Source organism: Homo sapiens, chromosome 9 (assembly GCF_000001405.40).
Source record: "Homo sapiens chromosome 9, GRCh38.p14 Primary Assembly".
In the NCBI taxonomy this organism is placed as follows: Eukaryota; Metazoa; Chordata; class Mammalia; order Primates; family Hominidae; genus Homo; species Homo sapiens.
The window spans coordinates 131,658,005-131,678,271 of NC_000009.12; the positions used below are offsets into that span (position 1 = coordinate 131,658,005).

Here is a 20,267-nt window from a genome sequence, read left to right on the forward strand (position 1 = left end):
TCCGTAGATTCCATAATCCCAGCTTTATTTATCTGCTCTCCTGTCAGTGGACACTGGGTCGCTTCCAGCATTTTTGCTTTAATAAACAATGCTGCTCATACATGTCTCCTGGAACACATGCCAACAGTCCTCTAAGAGCAGAACGGCTGGATTGTAGGGTATATGCCACATTGATTCTTACAGATATTGCAAAACAATTCTCCCAAGTGGCTATGCCACTTTACAGTCCCACTAGCAAGGTTGGGAGAGTCCTAGTTGCTCCATATTCCTCCCGGCACCTGGGGTTGCCAGACATGCAAACTTTCCCACATGGCCATGTCTAAGAAAGGACACAAAAGTCCTCCTTCACCTGGAAATGCCATATGCTGGTGTATTTTATTGTGATCTATCTAATCTGTGAGAGCAACTTCAAGTTCACCTGAACTTGAGAACAGAAAGCCTCAGACTCTTGCTCCATGTTACATTTACCCCAAGGTCAGAGACTCCCAGTGACTAATCTGCTAGTCATTCCTTCCAGAGGAAGGGTGGCTTATATGAGCTTACAAACAATTTCTGTATAAATTGACTGTGATGTTACCAACAGCAGCCACTTTCTTGGGCAACCATCGCAGGCTACAGATCTGGCTGTCGGATGAATGTCCTTCTCTACCGAGAGAGAAAGAGGATGGGCCGGAGGAGAGGATGTAGCCTGCTCACAGAATCATGTCTCAACAGAAAACCAAGCAGAGCAAAAAGACATCAAAGCCAACCCAATTTCTTCAAGTGGTCTGCCAGATGCCAATATTTCATTCTTAAATTTTTAACTTGCCCCTCGGCCAGGCTTAACAATGGTCTCTGCCTGTTGCTGACAAATGTGGCTATCAACTGGCCTTCTTTCTGTGTCATTTGTAGCAGCAGCTGGGTTCCCAACTTAGCAGTGGTTTCTGTCTCAACTTAATCTCTCACCAGGGATGGTGGGGAGTCTCTAAACATCAACCACACGGGATCACAAAGTCAAGGGCAAGGTGGACAACTTTGAGGCAGCCAATCTTGAGAAACGCTGTGGCTAATTCCTCATTCCCTGTCTTCTACTGGGCTCAGAAGTCGAGCACTGGGAAGGATTTAGAGATCACTTACTTAATAAACATTCCCCATTTTCCAAATGCATAAAAAGGACAAATGGAGTGGAGGCGTGATTGAGGACATTAGGAAAAGCTTTTTTAAAGATGAGGATTTCCAATTTTTTAAAAGTCTTTTCACTTGTCTAGGATTTTGTGGACCGCAAGGTAAAGATGGAGACAGAGGGCTATGGGCACAGGAGGCAGCAGAGCTGAAGTCTGTGGCTTTTTTTTTAAATCTATTTATTTATTTTATCTTGAGACCAGGTTACGAGACTGGCTAATTTTTGTATTTTTGGTAGAGACAGGGTTTCGCCATGTTGCCTAGGTTGGTCTCGAACTCCTGGGCTCAAGGGATCCTCCCATCTCAGCCTCCCAAAGTGCTGGGACTACAGGTGTGAGCCATCACGCCAGGCCTGTGTGTCTTTGTTTTAACTTCAGCTCGGCCACTAACCTGGGCAAACTTTTTACCCGAGCCTCCGGTTCCTCACCTAGAGGAAAGCCATAGCCACAGACCTAGCTCCTCCTCAGGTAATTGTGGAGATTAAATGTGACCCGTGTGTAAAGCATGTAGCCAAGGACCTGATATATAGCAAATACTTAATACATGGCAGCTATTATTGTCATGTGATAACCTCGTCAGGTCTCTGCCAACACTTAAAAAGGCAAAAGCTAAAAATAACCCCAGTCTAGTCGAGCCAAAAGCAACCTGGAGTTATATTTTTCTTTTTTTTTGATATGGAGTCTCGCTCTGTCGCCCAGGCTGGAGTGCAGTGGCGTGATCTCGGCTCACTGCAAGCTCCACCTCCTGGGTTCACGCCATTCTCCTGCCTCAGCCTCCTGAGTAGCTGGAACTACAGGCGCCCGCCACCACGCCCGGCTAATTTTTTGTATTTTCAGTAGAGACGGGGTTTCACCGTGTTAGCCAGGATGGTCTCGATCTCCTGACTCCGTGATCCGCCCGCCTCGGCCTCGCAAAGTGCTGGGATTACAGGCATGAGGCACTGCACCCGGCCTGGAGTTATATTTTTCTAACAACTTTAACATGGAAAGATCCTCTGTCTTACTTAATATACAACTATTCCTGTTAAAACAGAGGGAAAACAATATTTGAAGTTTTGCAATTCCAAAGACTCTTTTGTTATGAAAATCCATTCCTACTACCCAATTGTTCAGGAAGTCTACTGGATAACTATGACACTGCTAATGGGAATATTAAGCCTATCTTTTAAAAAATTTTCAAACAATCTCATTATAAAAATCCAAGCACTGTAAAAATATATAACGTAGACGGTAAACATTTCTCATAATTCCACACACAGCAGAAATATTTTTTCACTTTTTTTTTTTTTAAACAACAAGCCATTGTGGGCATTTTCCCATGTGAGTGCAGTTAATGGCTGCATGATGCTCTGCTGGACGGCAACCACAGTGTATTTATGCAGTCAGGCCCCCGAATGAATAGATTCTAACTTCTGCTCTTCAAACAATGCTGCGTTGATGAACACCCTCAAGCTGGCCTGTCTGCGCCCTTGTATGGTGAGACAGACTCCTAGGGATGGACGGCATGGGAAGCTGGATGCGACATAGTCAAACTGCCCCCCACTGAGCTGAATGCAGCCAGCACTGCCTGCCCCAGAGTGGGGCCCTGGATGGAGGCAGAAGGGGTGAGGAGGGATTCTGGGCCCTGGGGCCTTCTCGCCTATGCAGGAAACCAGGCTTCACCTTGGATTTGGGTTAAGATCTGACAGAACCACCCTTTTCATTTTACTTGCATAACTGGTAAGCATTACAAAGAGATTCAGAATCACAAAAGGCAACATTCAAATGGCCAATAAACATATAACAAGGTGCTCAATTTGTCATCAGGAAGCAGTACATTAAAACCACTGAGCTACCACCACAAACATGCCTGAATAGATAAAAAGAAAAAACAGGGAACACTATCGGTGTTGTGGATGAAGAGAAGGGGGACTCTCTACCCTGCTGACTGACAGCCACCCACTATGGCTGAACACATCCTTCCTCTCCAGCCCAATAACTCCACTCCAAAGAACGCCTGTGTGAGGTCACCATCAGACATGTACCAGAATATCACAGCAGTGCTCGGCGAATGCCTGTCGACAGCAGGACGGGTGAACCGTGGCACCGTCGCACAGTGGAATATCATGCAATCGACACCCATGACATGCATGGTTCTCACGAGTGTAGAGAGAAGCCAGATTCAAAAGAGTACATTTTATACGATTCCATTTATATAAATGCAAAAACAGACAAATTTAATCTATTATTTGGGGATTCAAGATAGTGGTTATGCTCGGGGAGTGGGGGGTGGTTAACTGGCAGGTGACATGAAGCAGTGGGCTTCTGAGGTGACGGTTATGGCCTGTTTCTTGATCTGGGGGTTGGTTGTACCAGTGTGTTCAACTTGCGAAAATCCTGCAAGCTATCTACATAAGGTATGTGTATATACTTCCTGATGTATAGTATATTCCAACAAAAAGGTGAAATAACCCAGATACAAAGGTCTAAGATTCTTCGGAAAAAGAGCCCACATGATTTTTATATGGGTCAGATTAACAACTGCAAAGTTCATTTACAACTTAAGGAAATTCCATTCCCTAAAACAAACAAATGTATTTACCCATGAATATTCCAGAATGAGTATCTTCCCTAAGAACTCTGAATTGACTATCTCAGGAAGAGCCTGTGAATATCTCAGGAAACTTTTGTCTCATCTTTTTAAAAATAATAAAAGATAACACCTACATAAATGTATACATTCTTAGGATCTTAAATCACCAGTAAATAAGCATTTTCCAATCTCTTCTCCCTTACTGTATGAAAAATTCTAGGAACTTAATATAAATACAATTGAATCTTATAATTTTTTATGTTTAACCAAGATTGAATCAATATACTTTTAATAATAGTATCTGTCTCATGAGGCTCGCCTAAGAATTAAAACCAAAACTCATTCAATGACTTTTTAGGCATCTCATCTGTGCCTTACATCAGCGGTGGGGCCCCACCCACCCGGCCTGCTCACACACTGCACCAGCCATTCTCTCCTCTCCCCACCACCAGGTTTCCTTCTGCTGTGTGTCACTTCACGTCTGCACATACACATGGTAGATCTCCCCCATCTTAAAGACCCGAGTCCTTAAGCCCACCTTCTCCTCCAGCTACTCCCACGTTTGTTTCTCTAAATAGCAAAACCACTTGAAAGACTTGCCTATATGTTGTCTACAGTTCCTTTCCTCTTATCCTTCATTTTCCCCCAACATTTTATTTTTTGAGACAGGGTCTTGCTCTGTTGCCCAGGCTGGAGTATAGTGGTGTGATCCCAGTTCACTGTAGCTATGACCTCTGGGGCTCACATGATCCTCCTGAGGAGCTGGGACTACAGGCATGCGCCACTATGCCTGGCTAATTTTTTGTTTTATTTTGTTTTTTTTTTTTTTGAGATGGAGTCTCACTCTGTCACCAAGGCTGGAGTGCAGTGGCACGATCTCGGCTCACTGCCTTCCTGGTTCAAGTGATTCTCCTGCCTCAGCCTCCTGAGTAGCTGGGATTACAAGCATGAATCACCATGCCTGGCTAATTTTTTTTTGTATTTTTAGTAGAGACAGGGTTTCACCATTTCGGCGAACCTGGTCTCAAACTCCTGACCTCAAGTGATCTGCCTGTCTCGGCCTCCCAAAGTGCTAGCCACCATGCCCAGCCCTGGCTAAGTTTTGTTCGTTTTGTAGAGATAGGGTCTCACTATGTTGCCTAGGCTGGTCTCGAGCTCCTGGGCTCAAGTGATCCTCTTGCCTCAGTCTCCCAAAGTGCTGAGATCACAGGTGTGAGCCTCCACGCCTGGTTCCAACGTTGTATTCTGGAAAAAAAAAATCAAATCTACTGATGTGCTGAAAGAATATTATGAAGCGAACGTCCACATACCCGTCACCTAGATTCGTCAACCGTTAACATTCTGCCATGCCCGCTTTCCAAAGTTATATTTTGGAAAAAAAAAAATCAAATCTATTGATGTGCTGAAAGAATACTATGAAGCGAACGTCCACATACCCTTCACCTAGATTCGTCAACCGTTAACATTTTGCCATGCTCGCTTTCCATCCCTTTTCTTTCTCTATCACAGAAACACACATGCAAATTTATTTTTCATCAAAGCAACTGAAAGTTGCACACGTTATAACACATCTCTAAATACTACCAGCTGTCTCTCTCCTAGGAACAAGGACATTCTCCTGCATAAATAACATAATAACATTATCATACCCAAGATATTTAACACTGACATAATATTTGCTCCATAAGCAAATTTCTCTTATCAGATTCTCTATAGCTTTTTTTTTTTTTTTTTAAATCCAAGATCCAATTAAGGAGCATACATTGCATCTGGTTGTCATGTCTCTCCAATTTCCCTTATCTAGTCTGGAGGCAGGAGGGACGGGACTGGCTTTTGGACGTTGACATATTTTGAAAAGTGCCTGCCAGTTGTCTTGGAGGAGGTCCCCCGTAAGTTGGATCTGCCTGTTCCCTGTCATGAGATTCGGGTAATACATGCTTGGTAAACACAGTTCCTGGGTGGTATGTGCTTTCTACTGTATTATTAATCAGTTATTGATAATGCTAAGTTCGATCACTTGGTTAAGGTGGTATCTGCCAAATTTCTCCACTGCAATGATATAGTTTCTCCTTTGTAACTAATAAGTAATCTGTACTGCAATTTGAGATTTTAAGCATCTTGTTCCCTAACAAATTTTCACTGAATAGTTTGGCATCCACTGATGATCCTTATGTGAATCTTTATTTTACTGGTGGTTACACATTGGTGATTATTAATTATTCCTCGATATTTATTGGCTGGCATTCCTTTATAAGTAATAGGCCCCCACCCTTTACTTTTTTTGGTATCACTATGGACCTGGGTGTTCATTTATTATTCAGTGTGTTATAATCCATTATAATCATGCCCTTTCATGTTCAAACTTCCAAACTTGGCCAGAGGGAACCTTTTTAGCCCATCTCCAGTGTTACTGAGGAGTCTCCATCAATCTTTGAATACTTCTTTGGTTTTTGATGCAAAAGAAGCTCCAGAATCACCCCGTACCTTCCCTACCCCATTTCTCCAGGAAATCAGCTTGGAATCTGCCATTTCTTTAATGTACCCTAGCTCCTTTTGGTGGGGAGTGGTATTTAGAAACCAAGATCGGGGCATTAGATGTGCTCATTGCCACTGGGATGTCACTGTTCTATGTCCTTTCAGTGGACACAGCTAGGAGAGAAATATGTACATGTATTTAATGTAAATATATATAATTAAATATGAGTGTGTATATATCTATATATTTTTAAATCATAAGTTAATACTGTTATTTCTTACTGCAAGCCAACACCACCAGGTTCTTCCTCCTTCCTTGATTCCATATTTGCAGCTCCCTTCCACAACAGTGAGAACCCTGGTTTCTAACATCATCAATCTATTCATTTGCCTTATCCTACAATAAACACAAAATTTCTTCAGAATTGCTACACGAATATCATTAACAACTACTAAAGGTAAAAGTTCAAGATTTCTTAGCAATTCTTTTAGTCCTTAGAATATATCCTGTGATGGGCATATAGCAAGTACTGTGTTCAAAAAGATATTCTAATTCTTTTTTCTGTGTGGGTTATATTATCATTTAATATACAGTTAGGTTTGTTTTTATTGATATTCAATTTCAGGATTTTTTCTGAATTTGTAAAATATTTATACAGTTCAAAAGTTAAAAAACTACATAACTTCTGTTTTATCCCTCATTTACACAGAAATAAGTAGTATATCCATCCTTATTTCCTCTTCTTACAAATACTGTATTAGACATCCACAGGAGCCTGAATTTGGCAGTTCAAGAGAAGTGAAGGAGCTAGGTGAAGGCTAGGGGTATATATTCGAGAGCTGTCGGCATATACACAGTATAGGAAGCTAGAAGACCAGTGGAGGCCCTCAGGGACATGTGTAGATAGAGAAGAGGGCCAGATGACTTCATTGTTGGGTGGTCTCATTACACAACACAAGCTCTTGGTGATTCCCTTGGACATTTGACAGGTGGCTCAAACACAAGTCTAAAACTGTATCTCTGAAGCTTCCTCCCAAACCTGCTTTGACCACATCTTGGTAAACAGGACATTTCACCCTTCCAGCAGCTCAGGTTAAAATCCTTGATTCTTCTCTTTTGCTTGAGTCCATCTGGCAATCCTTCGGCAAATCCTGTGAGTTCTACCTTAATGGTACATTCAGAATCCACCACTTCTCACCACCTGCACCACGGTCAGCCTGCCCAGTGCCATCTTTATTCCTCAAATGGACGACCGCGATGGCTTTCTAACTGTCCCCTGCTCCTTGCCCTCCCCATTCTCAACTCTGCAATCAGAGTAGTCCTTATAAGAGCTAAGTCTCGCTATGTCACCCTTCTGTTTGAAAACCTCTGATGGCATCTATTCTCCCTCAGAGAGGCCCTGTGTGATTTGCACCCAACCATGTGCCGCCCCAACCAACCCCCTCCCCACCTCTGAGAGTAAGCCCTCCATGGTAAGCCTGTTCTCCGATGTCCCCCAGATGGGGAGGCCTGACAAGTGCAAAGCCACTATGAGTGGTTGGGTAATGTTGGTCTAATCCTGGGACTCAATACTGGGAAGCTCACTGGGCTCTTAGAACAAGCTGCATCCTTCAAGCAAGGCTTTAGAAATCAAGGTGATATTTGGGTCCCCATCTATCTACCTTACTGTCTTCTTTTCCAACTTTCAGAATTCAGGGGACAGAGAAGGGTTCTACTTACTAGTCCTTTGAGACCCCAATGAGAGAATCAAATCTCATTCATTTTGGAATCTGGCACTTAGCCCAATAACTGACACATCATAAAATAAATAAGTGCTTGTTAGCAAACACGCAGATAAAAGAATCAATGAATTAACCCTGTAACAACCAACAGCTATGACATTCAGTCTACACCAGATGGTAATATCAGAGATGTAGATAAGATGGTTTATATGGATTTTTAATATAATTCTCTAAGTAGTTCTAGCACACGAGTCAGAGACAACTCATTCAGGAACTTTCTTTGGTGGGACGCTTCAGCCTGGGTTACTAGAACATCTGTTGTTCAAGCTACCTCCAGGGAATAGACAAGAAAGATTATACTGTTCACCCTCCTCCTCTAGGTTCTAACGGACTCTCTGGACCAGTACTATCCAATAGAAACATAGTGTGAACCACATATGTAATTAAAACAAAATTTTTTTTTTTTTGAGACAGAGTCTCACTTACTCTGTCCCCCAGACTGGAGTGCAGTGGCAAGATCTCAGCTCACTGCAACCTCCACTTCTTGGGTTCAAGTGATTCTTCTGCCTTAGCCTCCTGAGTAGCGGGGACTACAGGTGCCTGCTACCACGCCTGGCTAATTTTTGAATTTTTAGTAGAGACGGTTTCACCATGTTGGCCAGGCTGGTCTCGAACTCCTGACCTCAAGTTATCTGCCCACCTCAGCCTCCCTAAGTGCTGAGATTACAGGCAAGAGTCCCTGTGCCCAGTCTTAAAAATATTTTTTAATTGACCCAATTTATCTAAAGTATTATTACAACATGTAATATAAAAACGATTAATGAGCTATTTACCTTCTTTTTCTTTCATATTAATCTGCTGTGGATTTTATACTTCAGCACATCTCAGATGGCACTGGCCACATTTCCAGTGCTGCTGGACTAGACGCACAGCCTGGGCCCTCACCTCCTGTGATGGGACGGCTGGGACATGAAGCAAAGAGCCTTGGCCTGGTTGGATCTGCCTGCTTCAGGGTGGAGTGCTGAGGTCTTGAAGGTGGCACTTCCTGCTCGCCTTCAAAGCATTCTTTTTTTTGGAGACAGAGTCTCACTCTGTCACCCAGGCGGAGTGCAGTGGCACGAACTCGGCTCACTGCCATCTCCATCTCACGGGTTCAAGTGATTCTCCTGCCTTGGCCTCCCTAGTAGCTGGGATTACAGGTGCCTGCCACCACGCCTGGCTAAGTTTTGTATTTTTAGTAGAGATGGGGTTTCACCATGTTGGTCAGGCTGGTATCAAACTCCTGACCTCCAGTGATCTGCCTGCCTCGGCCTCCCCAAAGTGCTGGGATTACAGGTGTGAGCCACTGCGCCCAGCCAAGGCATTCTTATTACCACTCAACAGATGAGGAGACCGAGTCACAGGCGGCTTCCTGCTCGCCTTAGGCAGGGCTCAGGGCAGCACTGGAGTCCCAGACTATGGAGCCCTCCCACACCCTCTTCCTACACGGAGGTACTGCCCATTTCCTCCTCCACAGTACCTGGTACAGGGACAGAGGTGGCTGGGTGATGGCCTCAAGAAATGTCACTGTGCAAGGTCTGGTGATGGAATGCATGGAAAAAGAGGCAGTCTTCTATTGTTTCAAGAGAAGAAATCTCTACCATCACAGCTTCCCAACATTCCAGACTGATTTTCTCTGAAGGTAGGGACCACAGTCATTCAAAGGGGAACTGCCACCATGTCCTATGGCTATGACATGGGGCAAACAGAAGTGGCACTCATCTCTACACGTGGCCTAGGGCAGCCTATCCACGTATTCCCGTCCCACCCACGTCTCAGATGGAAGGGAAAGGCCGTCATCTTGTGTGATGCTGAGTCAGCTGGCCTCCCTGGGGCTTGCTTTTCTCTGCTGTAAAATGGGAGTAGTGATCTTTACCTCACTGGGCCGTTGGGAGGATGTCATACAGTACTGCACATACAGTGAGTCACTAAGCCCAGTCCTGGCACTTAGTTAACATTCATAAATGTCATCTGTGGCCACCAGACCGTTCAAAAATATACTCCTTTTTGGGATAAATGCCACCATCTTCAGTGGACAGCTGTTATTTCTTAACACAACTGGCTTTAAAAATAGAGAAAAATTCTAATAACTTAAGCATCTCCTAGGATTTAAACAGAACCCACAGCCCTCGTCAGGTAAACTTTTCCGCGTGAACAAAGCATGGAGATGATGTCCAGGGAGCCCCTCCCTTACCTGCCAGAGACGTGAAGAGAATTCCCAGACTCGCTCCTCTTATAAACCACAGATGCTGCTTGAGGGGATGGAAGGGACGCCTCTGAGACTCAGAGCGGCTTCCCTCCCGGAGCCCAATCAAGTGGTTAAATCAGCAGCGGCTGTTTTTAAACTTCCTCTCAGAAATTTTTAAATTAGATATTAAAATTTAGATTTTTAAAAAACTTACAATTTAAGAAATCCCCTTAGAAGCCAGGAGTGGGGCTTCTAATATGTGGGGAGCTCTTGGCATATGCCTGGTCCTCATGCTAACATCAGAGGGGAGGTATTCTTATTACCACTAAACAGATGACGAGACCGAGTCACACGGTAGTCATGGACCTTGGCCAAGGTCACAGGGTTAAGTTTAAACCTCCCCTCCCCTCCCATTTTCACAGACAAGGTGACTGCAGCCCTAGCCGGTGTCCTGAACCACTCAAGGCGGCCTGTCCCCACGGTGGCCTACTCCCAGGGAAGCGTTTCTTTTCCATTACTGTTAGGCATTGATCTAGAGATGAAAACCACAGACTTCATAGGCTTCCTGAGATGTGAATTAGTCATTTCTCAGCTTTATTTTCAGAGGCAAAATGAAAAAAAGAGTGATGGTAAAATAACAGTTTATTCTGAGTAAACCACAGAGCAGAGGCCAGGGTACATCTCATCATCTGGAGGCAGAGCCCTCCCCCGGCCTTTGTCTTTTAGGTGGAGTTGTTTGGGGCAGCCTCCGTGGCTCAGAGGAACCTGCCTGTTAGGATGGCTGCCAGCCTAGGAGGGGCAGGTGGAGGCAGCATGCCATCTCAGCACTCCAACAGTGCTCTGCCGGGGCCGCAGCCTCCTGCTCTCCAGTGCAGTGCCACCAGCAAAGCAGCCAGTCTGGGGGCAGGAAGGCCTGTCTAGCTGGGGCTGGGTCGTGGTGATGGAGCCCCATGGGCCTGCAGGCAGGAGGTGGCAGCAGACGGCCCCCACCTCTGCTGCGCTAGCCCTGCTCAGAGACTCTGAGAACTCACAGTTTGACAGGCCACCCTCTGGGCCTCCAGAGGAAAAACAGCATTTTCATTCGTCAGTAAGCATACATTCATGTATTTATCTCCCAGACAACAGGGGAAGGAGCTGGCAGCCACAATCCCTAGCAGCTTGGGACACTGCAGAAGGAGCTCATGGGCAGAGAAAGAAGACAGTGAAGGGACAGGAGTCACCTCAAAAGTCCTTCCCTGTCACCTTAGGGAAGCAGGCTGCACTGCACAGTGCAGGTCAGACACTGCGTGGCATCCTCACTCATCCACCCCTTCACTCCATAAACATTTACACGCAAAGCACTTGCAAGGTGCTGGGGTCAGGAGGAGGCCCAGTTTACCACCCAGGCCCCCCTGCCCCTGAACGAGGGCAGTTCAGGCTCCTTCCTCCGAACTGGAGGAGAAAGCGTCAACTCGCCTCCCTCAGCCCTTTCTCCTCCTCATGTTCTGACATGACACCCAAGCATGCAGAGGGCTGGGATAGAAGAGCCCACCCTGGTGCTACTGATACCAGCTGACTCTTACTTCAGAGTTACTGGCCTAACCCCCACGGGAGGCTCCTGAGGGCCCTTGAGGTTCTGGGAAAATCAGAAGTCCTCCTGGTTTAAGCACAGACAGAATTTCATTGGGTTAGAGCCTAAAATTCAATCCACTTCATTTCCAGTCAAATGTATTGGCCCCCACTATGTACAGGGAGTTGTATCAGGTGCTGAGTAACACAAGGCCCTGCCCACGTGGAGCTGGCAGCGATGACAATGGCTACACAGCAATGACTAGGACCACTTCTTGTGCAGTGAGCACCCAGCACCACCGCAGGCACTCAACAGGCCTCATCTCACTGAAGCCTCGAAGTGACCCTCCAATACAGGTACCACTGTCTTCATGCCACAGACAGGGAGAGTGAGGCCGAGGAGTAAGTGACAGACCCTGGATTTGAATCAGTTCTGCTTCACACACCAGCCACACGGTCTCCTAATTTAGTAGAGAGAGGAGTAAGTACCCTAAGGATTGTTCAAACAAAGCAGAATTCAAGTTCAGAGGAAGGAGGGCTCACGTCTGCTCTTGGCCCTAGAGGACTTTTCTTATTTCCTCTGGGTCAGTGTTCCACTTAAGTCAGCACCCACTCAGCGTGGGACACTGGGCTTGGCTAGGATCACCACCATCCTGTCCCCACCCTCGCTTCTGACGCAGATGCCACAATCTTGGTGTAGGCTCCTCTTCCCCCTTTTGAAGCCAAAGACTAGCAAATAAGCTGTTTATTAAGTGTGTTCACAACCTTGATCACCAGGGGAGTAAGTCACTGTAAGAGGAGAAGAAAAGACTTCCAGGCCAGGACTGCTTGTAAAAGTGAATTACACCCTTCTGGAAAAGCCCAGGACCAAGATGGCTGGTTCATAGCAGACGCACATCAAAGACCTCCCGGCTGTGCTAGCACCTGGGCTAAAAATACTCTCAGCGCAAAACCTCGGGACAGTCTCCCGGCCTCAAGGAAGAGGCCAAAGTTATACACTGGCTCTCTCGACTTGGGAGGTGGGATTATGGGTGCAACCAAGACACTATTTTTAAACAACCCCAAAAATAATGGGTTGGGGAAGAACATATATTTCAGTGATGCCTGGAATTGCCAACATTTGGCAAGAAAGCGGAGAAGGGGATCTTCCTAAGTCAGAAAGTCCTCCCTTTCTCACTGCCTTTATGCCTTAGCAGTCTGTGATCAGTTACAAAACTCGCCATACTGATTAAAGAGGCTCCTCAACCAAGTGTTTTGAAAAGACAGCCATCCCCCTTCCCTGGATCTTGAACTCAGCCAAATAGCATTCCTCTAACTCCCTCCAAATTACCTCTCTCATTTAACACTCTCTAAACCCCACACTGTCCGGGGAATGCCCCTAGGAAAAACCAGGGGCAACCCAACTTCAAAAACTCAGTTGCTTTACTCTAGAATCCTCAGAGCAGGAAATAGTGATCGTTTTTCAAGAGGGAATCTCATTTTTCATTGCTCTCCCTCAGCAGCTGTATCCTCTAAGTCTCCTGGAATTGAAGTTCTATTTTAAAGGCCCAAATCCTCCACAGGAGGCAGCCTCCTGCCGTCTGTCTGAAGGCCTACATCTCAGCCCGCCAGGGAGGAGGCACGGGCCACACGGTGGAGAGGCAAAGCAGAGATCGGTCTTTTCCAAGTCAGTTGTTGGAATCAGAACACACCTTCCCCTTGAAACAAAGTTAAAAACCAAGTCCCAGTTCTGGGCCCGCCCACAAAACTGGGGTTGCAATGTGGCTGAGCGCCTCCAACCAGCCCAACAACGTGGGGCCTTTGCTGCCACAGAGGTTCTGGGGGCACTGGAATGCAGGCTCTGCACTCAGGTGGTCTATAAGCTGACAAGAAAGTCAAGCCTCCAACCCAGGGCTATGGCACACTGTGAGGTGAGTCAAATGCTGAGGACATGTGGGGGTCACTTTGTGAGAGATGCAGGAAAAGTTCATGAATGGAGGCCCTGGAACCGAGACTGGCAGACGGTGCAGGATCTGGCTGTGGAAAGTGCAGGGCAGTTGAGCTGGGGGAGAACAGGTGCCCTGGAGAGTTGTGGGAACTGGTCCTGGCCACTTGAGGGGTGGATTTGTGGATTACTCCCAATGTTGATGTTTACGATGCACAACCAACCCATTTAGCACTTCCCAAAATCAATGTCATAGATGAAAACATGAAACAGAAAATCTCAGAGGCCATGCATGTATTAAGGCTAATATCGTTTCACGAAACTTAATCACAACCAACTTGAAACATGTGAAGACCCTTCTCCCTGGAGTGTGGAGTGGAGAAACCCCCTCACTGGGCCAATAGGTGCTGCTGTAGGTTAGGGGTCATGTATGGTGGTGAAGACCGCAAACCTAGCCCATAGCCAAAAGTTGCCAAGACACTGGTTAGCTTCCCCTCCTGAGCCTGGAACTAAGGACCAAGCACAGGTGCAAAGGCACAGGTGGGCATTTCAGAGAGGGAGAAGTAGCTAAGGCAGAGGCTAATAAGCTTTTTGACCCCGGTAAGAAACGTATTTTATATTACAACCAAGTACACAAAATATGTCAAAAATCTAAAGATTTAAATTCTATTTTACTTTTTCACTACTTGCTATTTCACTGAATCAATTTTAGGACAACATTGTGTCTTCATCCTTCGTTCAGCTGAAAAGGGACTGGGCATCAGATGACGGCATCAGTGTCACATGGGAGGGGGTCTGGATGCCAGCTCTTTAGCCCTGGTGCAAACCTAAGAATCTGATGAACTGGGGTCTCTGGGGAAGGGACCCAGGACACTGGGCTTCAACAGGTGGCCCTGCAGTGCTGGAGTGTGAGAAGCACTGTTTCAGAAGACAAAGGTCTGAGGGAACCGGTTGAGCTATTAAGATTTTCCACATCTTGGGCCAAAGACGGGGAGGGGCTGATGACTAGCCCAGCACAGCCCAGGGCACATGGGAAGTGACAGGCAGATGGGACCCTTTGACTTCGACAGCAGGGGAAGTTCTAATCTCATCTCAGATCAGAACATTCCTTAGGATAAGCCCCTCCTGGTTGGGAAACAAATCTGTAAATGCTGAACCTGGAAAAGGTCCGTGTAGGGTAAGAGGGGGTGACCACCAGTTCCAGCCACCAAATTCCAACTAAGCAGTCACCCCTACCAAGGAAATTTAGCTGAATCAGGCTCTTCTGGTAAAAGGCTCAGAGCACCAGTCAGCCAGTATCTCCTGAAGCCCTACTGCGTGTGTGGAGTGACAGACATAAGAACCAGGGGGCCAAAGCCACCACTGAGCCCTGCTCTTCCTTCTGCTTCAGGGCTTGCTTGTTTATATTTGGCTGTAGACTTTGTTTAGCACCTACTTTGTGCTGGGAAAAAAAGTGCTTTTTGCCCTCAAATAACTGCACTAAGTCAGTGATTCTCAGGAGAGGAGTGGGGTGGGTCAGAATGACCTGGCGTCTGGTCTGAAAAAGTGCACCCAAAAAAACCATACATGTTCCTATTTGCAATCAGAAGAAAGCAAATCTGAACAAAATCTTTTAGTCTCTCTCATAGGAATACAGAGTAGATACAGTGATTTTCAAATCAGAATTCCTAAGAGGGAGGGGCTGAAACATCAGTGTGTCCCAAATCAGGGCTGGATGAAAAGCCACCATGCCACCTGGCCTGCTAGGAGCAGGCCCAAAAGCTAGAGGTTGGGGTCCCAACTCCACTGCTGACCCTGTCCTGTAGATGAACTGTGTCCTCAGTGGAAAGCAGTTATCTTTAAAGTTCTTTGAGCACATTCTAAGATGATAACCACCTTTTACATTTAAGATGGACTTAGAATTTTCTAAACAGGTAAACCAATTGGAACCAACTGTAAATCAACTGGAAGGGAAAGGAATTTGCTGAGGACCCTGTGACCCAAAGCACAGGTCCTCTGCAGATGGTTAGAAAGCAGGACATTCCTATCAACTCCATCTGTGGAGGGCTACAAAAGCACCCCCCCGGCCGCCCCACCCAACAGAGAGGAAAGGAGGGGCCAGGAGAAAGTCCAATGGTGCTGAGTCAGAAATTGCCAAGAGCCACCAGTGACCGTGAAGAAAAACATGCCGCTTCATTTTCCACTAGGTAGATGGGGCCCATCATGTACTCATCGTGGCCTCTGTTTCCTAAAAGACGGTTCCGTTCTGCAGCTGGTGTCTGCCAGTCCCCATGTCCTCAGATCTAAGGGTCCCTTGATAATAAAAATATGGAACTCGGAGAGCTAGTAGACGTTTTTGCAAATGCATGACAATCCGTGGACTGAATCTATAAATGGGTCTCTAAACTCTGTAAAAAGCAGAATGATGCGAGCAGAGAGTTATGAACATTGTTCGAAGCCACCTTTGAAAGCATTTTTGGTTCTAACTTTTGCTTTACAAATTGAACCACCACTGCAGAGCAGGGATTGGGATATATCTAGTTTCTTTATAATAATATTTTCGTGTTCTTTGTGGTGGGGGTTGAGAGCAGTGTTTTTAAATTTTTCATCAAAACAAAAATATTAGCACAGAACTATGTGTCCTGAAGCTTGTTAAAATCGGGGGTGCTTCAAATGGGGCTTACCGCTTTCAACATTCATTTCTGAGGGCAATGAACCAACTACGTTAAGACCAGTCTGAAAATGCTGAAATAGGCGCCCTGCAGAGCACGGTTTTGCTTTAAAATTCTGCCCTCTTACCCAAAGCAGTCAGCCTGACTTGAGAAGGAGCTCAGATCTCTGTGTTATGAACAGGCCCTGGTCCGGTTCCCCAAGGCGTGAGAAGCCACCACTGTGGTCCCTCTCCCTCAGGTGCAAGGAAATCTAGGTCTCCACACTTGGCTCAGGAGAAAACCGTTGCCCTGCATTGTTTTGGGCGGCTAGGGCTGGAGCTCTGGCTGCTTGGGCGGTGGGCGCGTGGAGGTGGGAACCGCTGGCTAGAGTCCAGTCCGGTGACCGCCTCCCTGACACAGCCCACCTGCTCCAGTTCAGACGGCCTTCCCACCAACCCAACCTGAAGAGGGATCCCTAGAAGGAAAGTCCAATCTGAGCTGGCTGCCTGCTGAGGAAAAGCCTCTGTCCTGTCCCCTACTCCTCAGAGAACAAGAAACCCTGTGGAGGCGCGGGGAGGGCAGACCTGAAGCATCGCTACCGAGGTCAGGGGACAAGTGCTACACAAGTGAGGCCAAAGACCCCTAACCAAGTCTGGAGAGAGGGGTGGGGGTGGCCTCCCCAAGGTGAATGCTTAAACCTTGGTCCGGTTCCCCAGAAGCAGACTCCTGGGATGTGCAGGGACACTGGGGGGTTCTGGAGGAGCAGCTGGGAGGGAGGGAGCAGAGAGAAGGCGAGCGTCATAGCCCTTTCCACAGAGGGTGGTGGGGGGTGGTAGCAACTGTGCTTGCCACCAAGAGGAAACTGGCTTAAAAAGAAGCTGGTGAGATTTGCTGCACTTGGCTAGATTTGCTGCACTTGGCTGGATTTGCGCTGTATTTCTCGTGGGGATGAGGCACGGACCGAGGGGAAAATGCTCCCAGCAGAGGGATGAGCACATCTGGAAGGCCCCAGCCCAGCAGGGTCAGCTGAACAGGTGACCTGACTCAGGGAGGGCAAGAGCCAGGGGCTGGGCGAGGCTGTGGAGGAGGGCTCTGCGGGAGCAGGGAGCCCGGCAGCTTCCTGCGGGTGCCGGGACGTGCCGTCCACAGGGTTCACCATGTGTTTTTTTCTTCACCGGCCATGAGAAAGGATTAATTCAGAAATCTAAAAATGGTCCCCAACAGGCTGAGAAGCCAAACACCCACAAGCCACCTTCCACTAAGAGACGAATTACCAATGTACTGGTGGTCCTGATGTCTAGATAAAAATGAATTCCCCAACCATGTCTTACAGCAAATTGCCACAAGGCAAAATCCAAAGTAAGCACACACCATTATCCTGCCCCTGTACCAGGAAAGCCCCCAGGGAATGAAGGTAGAGAAGAGGAATTTAAGGCAAGGGTTAGTCAGGAGCTAGTCTACTTCTTGCTCCTCAAAAGATAGCCTGTAATTTACTGAGCACTTACTATACGCCAGCCCTGACAGGCAGACATTAATTGCCATTTTGCAGATGAAGAAACTAAAGCTCAGAGAAAAGAACTAGGTGCAAAGTCACAGCATGATTGGGAAACAGCCTGAACTCGAACTGCTCAGTTTGACAAAAACTCAGTCTTTTTTTTTTTTTTAATCTCGCCCTGTGGCCCAGGCTGGAGTGTAGTGGCATGGTCGTAGCTCACTACAGCCTTGAACTCCTGGGCTCAAGTGATCCTTCCACCTTGGCCTCTCAAAGTGCTGGGATTATAGGCTGGCCTCACAGTCTTAATCATGACAATAAAGTGCCTTCCTTAAGTGGAGCCAGTGGCCATGTCTTTTAGAATGGGGAGGTGGGCACCAACAGTGCAATGGAAAGGATGTAAAAGAAAACCGTGGACAGAAGGTGGCCACAATAACCTCCTTCTGCCCAAACTGAACAGCTTCTGAGGTGGGCATGGGCAGCCGCTGGGGGTTCTTCCCAGCGCACCCTGAGGAAAGGGGCAAGGGCTGTGAGGAAGTGAAGGGTCCCTCAAGTGTGCTCCCCTCACCCCAATCTCAGTGCCCACCATGGGACATGGGAATCACCTGTGTGGGGGACTGAGTCCCCTTCAAGGCAGCTGAGCCCCAAGCACCCCGGCTGTGCTAAGATCTCCAAGATGGGCAAGAAAATCTGGGGACACAACTGCCAAACAATGAGAAAACTTAACTTGGCTCCCAGCCCAACCACGTCCTTTGATGGGTAGCAGATGCCACAAAGAGTGGCTGGTGCAGCTAACACATACCTGGAACGACACCTCCTGTCCTCTTGTTCTGTTCCAAGGTTGTCAGGCTGGGACGAAATCCCAAGAAAGAAATGGGCATGTGGTCACTATCATAGCAGACTGCCAGTTAGGGACATCAGAATATATTTCTCTGTCCTCAAGTTAGGAAGTGAGAGGACAAACCTGGCCTTCTGTGTTGTTTCAGCCACTAATTGGTTTTGTCAATTAGGCAAAACATAATTTCTCTAAGCCTCTTTTCTCATCCACAGGCATTAGCCTAGTCAGCGGTTCTCAAAGTGTGGTCCTGAACCAACAACGACGGCAGCTTCACCAAGAGACTTCTTAGAAATGCAAATTCTTGGGCCCATGCCACACCTACAGAAGCAGACACTCTGGGGGTAGGCCCAGCAATCTGTTTTAACAAGCTCTCCAGGTGATTCTGATACACAGTAAGTTGGAAGACCACTGGCCTAGCTGATGTCCCTTTTTATTGTTTTAGAAACCATCCTTCCTTACGGCCTCCTATCTGTAGTGCTACTGACTTCATTTACCCCAAACAAATATTTACAAAGTTTCTACTATGTGCTAGGAACTGGGGACACCAGGGGAACTTACACGTCTGCTTTGTGTTTAAGTTCTCATCACAATAAACGTGCACGCAGCTTGTTGGCTGGTTGTTCACTGAGTAAGCAGCACAACTGTATTTTCCAGCAACTTGCCTCTTTAGCCATGATCTTCTTCCAAAACTTACTGTACTTTTAAAATTAAAGAGCTCTGCATGCAAGTAGAGATGCAATGTGCTAACAAATACAATGTTACTGTATTGCTGATGATAAAAGAAAGAGATTATGGATGTCCAATTAACATAAGCACAGGAATCAACTGGAAAATTTCTAGAAGGAAATATAGAAAAGAGTAACACAGACAACATTCCTTTCTCCTAAAACTATTTTAGTGACTCACAGTGCTCACGGGTCTTGAATGTTATTCTAGGCACAAAATAACAAACACCAAGTGACATTTTTAGCAGTCCATTTTGCTTCAGGATATATACACAGGAAATGCAAAAGCAAAAACAAAAGCTAAAATGCTCTACCCTAAGAGGAAAGACGCAACCAAACTACCATAATATTAAAAACAGGACTAAAATTAGCTTCCTCCCTTACGCTTAAGGGTCTTACTAAAAACATCTGCCAACAGCTTTTCTTCCTCTCTCCTCTGCTCAAGCAGACCAGGGAAGGCAAATGAAACAGGCTCAGAAGACAAACAAGCGGCCAGCTGCTGCAGAGCTCGGCCTTAACACGAGTCTTGGTCTGCATCAATCCCACAAAGATTCACTCCAGGCCAGAACTAAATTCTCCTAAGTCAAAACTACATCATGGGATTTGACCCTTTTGAGTAGAAGCAGAAATCAGAGTTCTCACCCAGAGCACAGGTCAACAAGCTCTTGTCTGCACTAGTTAAAACAACTCACCTAATAATTAATAGAACATACTCACAGCTGTTTCTGCTTAGAATCGAGGTCAACGCAAACCACGGAGCTAATGTGCAAAGTTACAAAGCAATTCCTCCCCTAATGGTAGGTATTTATTTAGAAAACACTAAGCACACAGCAAATGAGACACTTTAAAAGCAAACAGAGTCAGAAGCTTAGAACTCAAGATTTACTGCAACTGAGTTGTATTCGTTTGGTTCTAAGTTTCCTAGTGGCAAAGGTAAAAAGGTAAATAAGATAG

The 20,267-nt window shown here is 46.4% G+C and overlaps 1 protein-coding gene across 28 annotated transcripts in view, besides 9 other annotated features; it reads right to left on the reverse strand.

The window, feature by feature from the left end:
- The window catches only part of RAPGEF1 (Rap guanine nucleotide exchange factor 1), a 163,302-nt gene that overhangs the window by 81,230 nt on the left and 61,805 nt on the right, over positions 1-20,267 (reverse strand). For 13 of the 28 annotated variants that reach the window (XM_047423254.1, XM_024447521.2, XM_006717072.4 and 10 more), the window contains exon 1: positions 18,553-18,831. The exons of 13 other annotated variants lie outside the window; for them this stretch is intronic. In XM_047423254.1, coding sequence (XP_047279210.1) covers positions 18,553-18,631 — 79 coding nt within the window. In that variant the 5' untranslated portion in view covers positions 18,632-18,831. Of the gene's footprint in view, positions 1-10,162; positions 10,449-18,552; positions 18,832-20,267 lie in introns of those variants that run through there. 2 more of the 28 variants (XM_017014636.3, XM_017014635.3) reach the window with 1 other exon arrangement.
- Positions 1,361-1,894: an enhancer, noted in NCBI's record as "H3K27ac-H3K4me1 hESC enhancer chr9:134534752-134535285 (GRCh37/hg19 assembly coordinates)". NCBI's record gives its function as "activates a minimal SCP1, AML or CMV promoter by ChIP-STARR-seq in primed H9 embryonic stem cells {active_cell/tissue: H9 hESC(primed)}" and the evidence as "EXISTENCE:reporter gene assay evidence [ECO:0000049][PMID:30033119]".
- Positions 1,895-2,427: an enhancer, noted in NCBI's record as "NANOG-H3K27ac-H3K4me1 hESC enhancer chr9:134535286-134535818 (GRCh37/hg19 assembly coordinates)". NCBI's record gives its function as "activates a minimal SCP1, AML or CMV promoter by ChIP-STARR-seq in primed H9 embryonic stem cells {active_cell/tissue: H9 hESC(primed)}" and the evidence as "EXISTENCE:reporter gene assay evidence [ECO:0000049][PMID:30033119]".
- Positions 10,372-10,421: an enhancer, noted in NCBI's record as "active region_29199". NCBI's record gives its function as "activates an Ori minimal core promoter by ATAC-STARR-seq in GM12878 lymphoblastoid cells {active_cell/tissue: GM12878}" and the evidence as "EXISTENCE:reporter gene assay evidence [ECO:0000049][PMID:35858748]".
- Positions 10,842-10,901: an enhancer, noted in NCBI's record as "active region_29200". NCBI's record gives its function as "activates an Ori minimal core promoter by ATAC-STARR-seq in GM12878 lymphoblastoid cells {active_cell/tissue: GM12878}" and the evidence as "EXISTENCE:reporter gene assay evidence [ECO:0000049][PMID:35858748]".
- Positions 11,042-11,151: an enhancer, noted in NCBI's record as "active region_29201". NCBI's record gives its function as "activates an Ori minimal core promoter by ATAC-STARR-seq in GM12878 lymphoblastoid cells {active_cell/tissue: GM12878}" and the evidence as "EXISTENCE:reporter gene assay evidence [ECO:0000049][PMID:35858748]".
- Positions 11,182-11,251: an enhancer, noted in NCBI's record as "active region_29202". NCBI's record gives its function as "activates an Ori minimal core promoter by ATAC-STARR-seq in GM12878 lymphoblastoid cells {active_cell/tissue: GM12878}" and the evidence as "EXISTENCE:reporter gene assay evidence [ECO:0000049][PMID:35858748]".
- Positions 11,906-11,985: an enhancer, noted in NCBI's record as "active region_29203". NCBI's record gives its function as "activates an Ori minimal core promoter by ATAC-STARR-seq in GM12878 lymphoblastoid cells {active_cell/tissue: GM12878}" and the evidence as "EXISTENCE:reporter gene assay evidence [ECO:0000049][PMID:35858748]".
- Positions 12,016-12,225: an enhancer, noted in NCBI's record as "active region_29204". NCBI's record gives its function as "activates an Ori minimal core promoter by ATAC-STARR-seq in GM12878 lymphoblastoid cells {active_cell/tissue: GM12878}" and the evidence as "EXISTENCE:reporter gene assay evidence [ECO:0000049][PMID:35858748]".
- Positions 12,286-12,405: an enhancer, noted in NCBI's record as "active region_29205". NCBI's record gives its function as "activates an Ori minimal core promoter by ATAC-STARR-seq in GM12878 lymphoblastoid cells {active_cell/tissue: GM12878}" and the evidence as "EXISTENCE:reporter gene assay evidence [ECO:0000049][PMID:35858748]".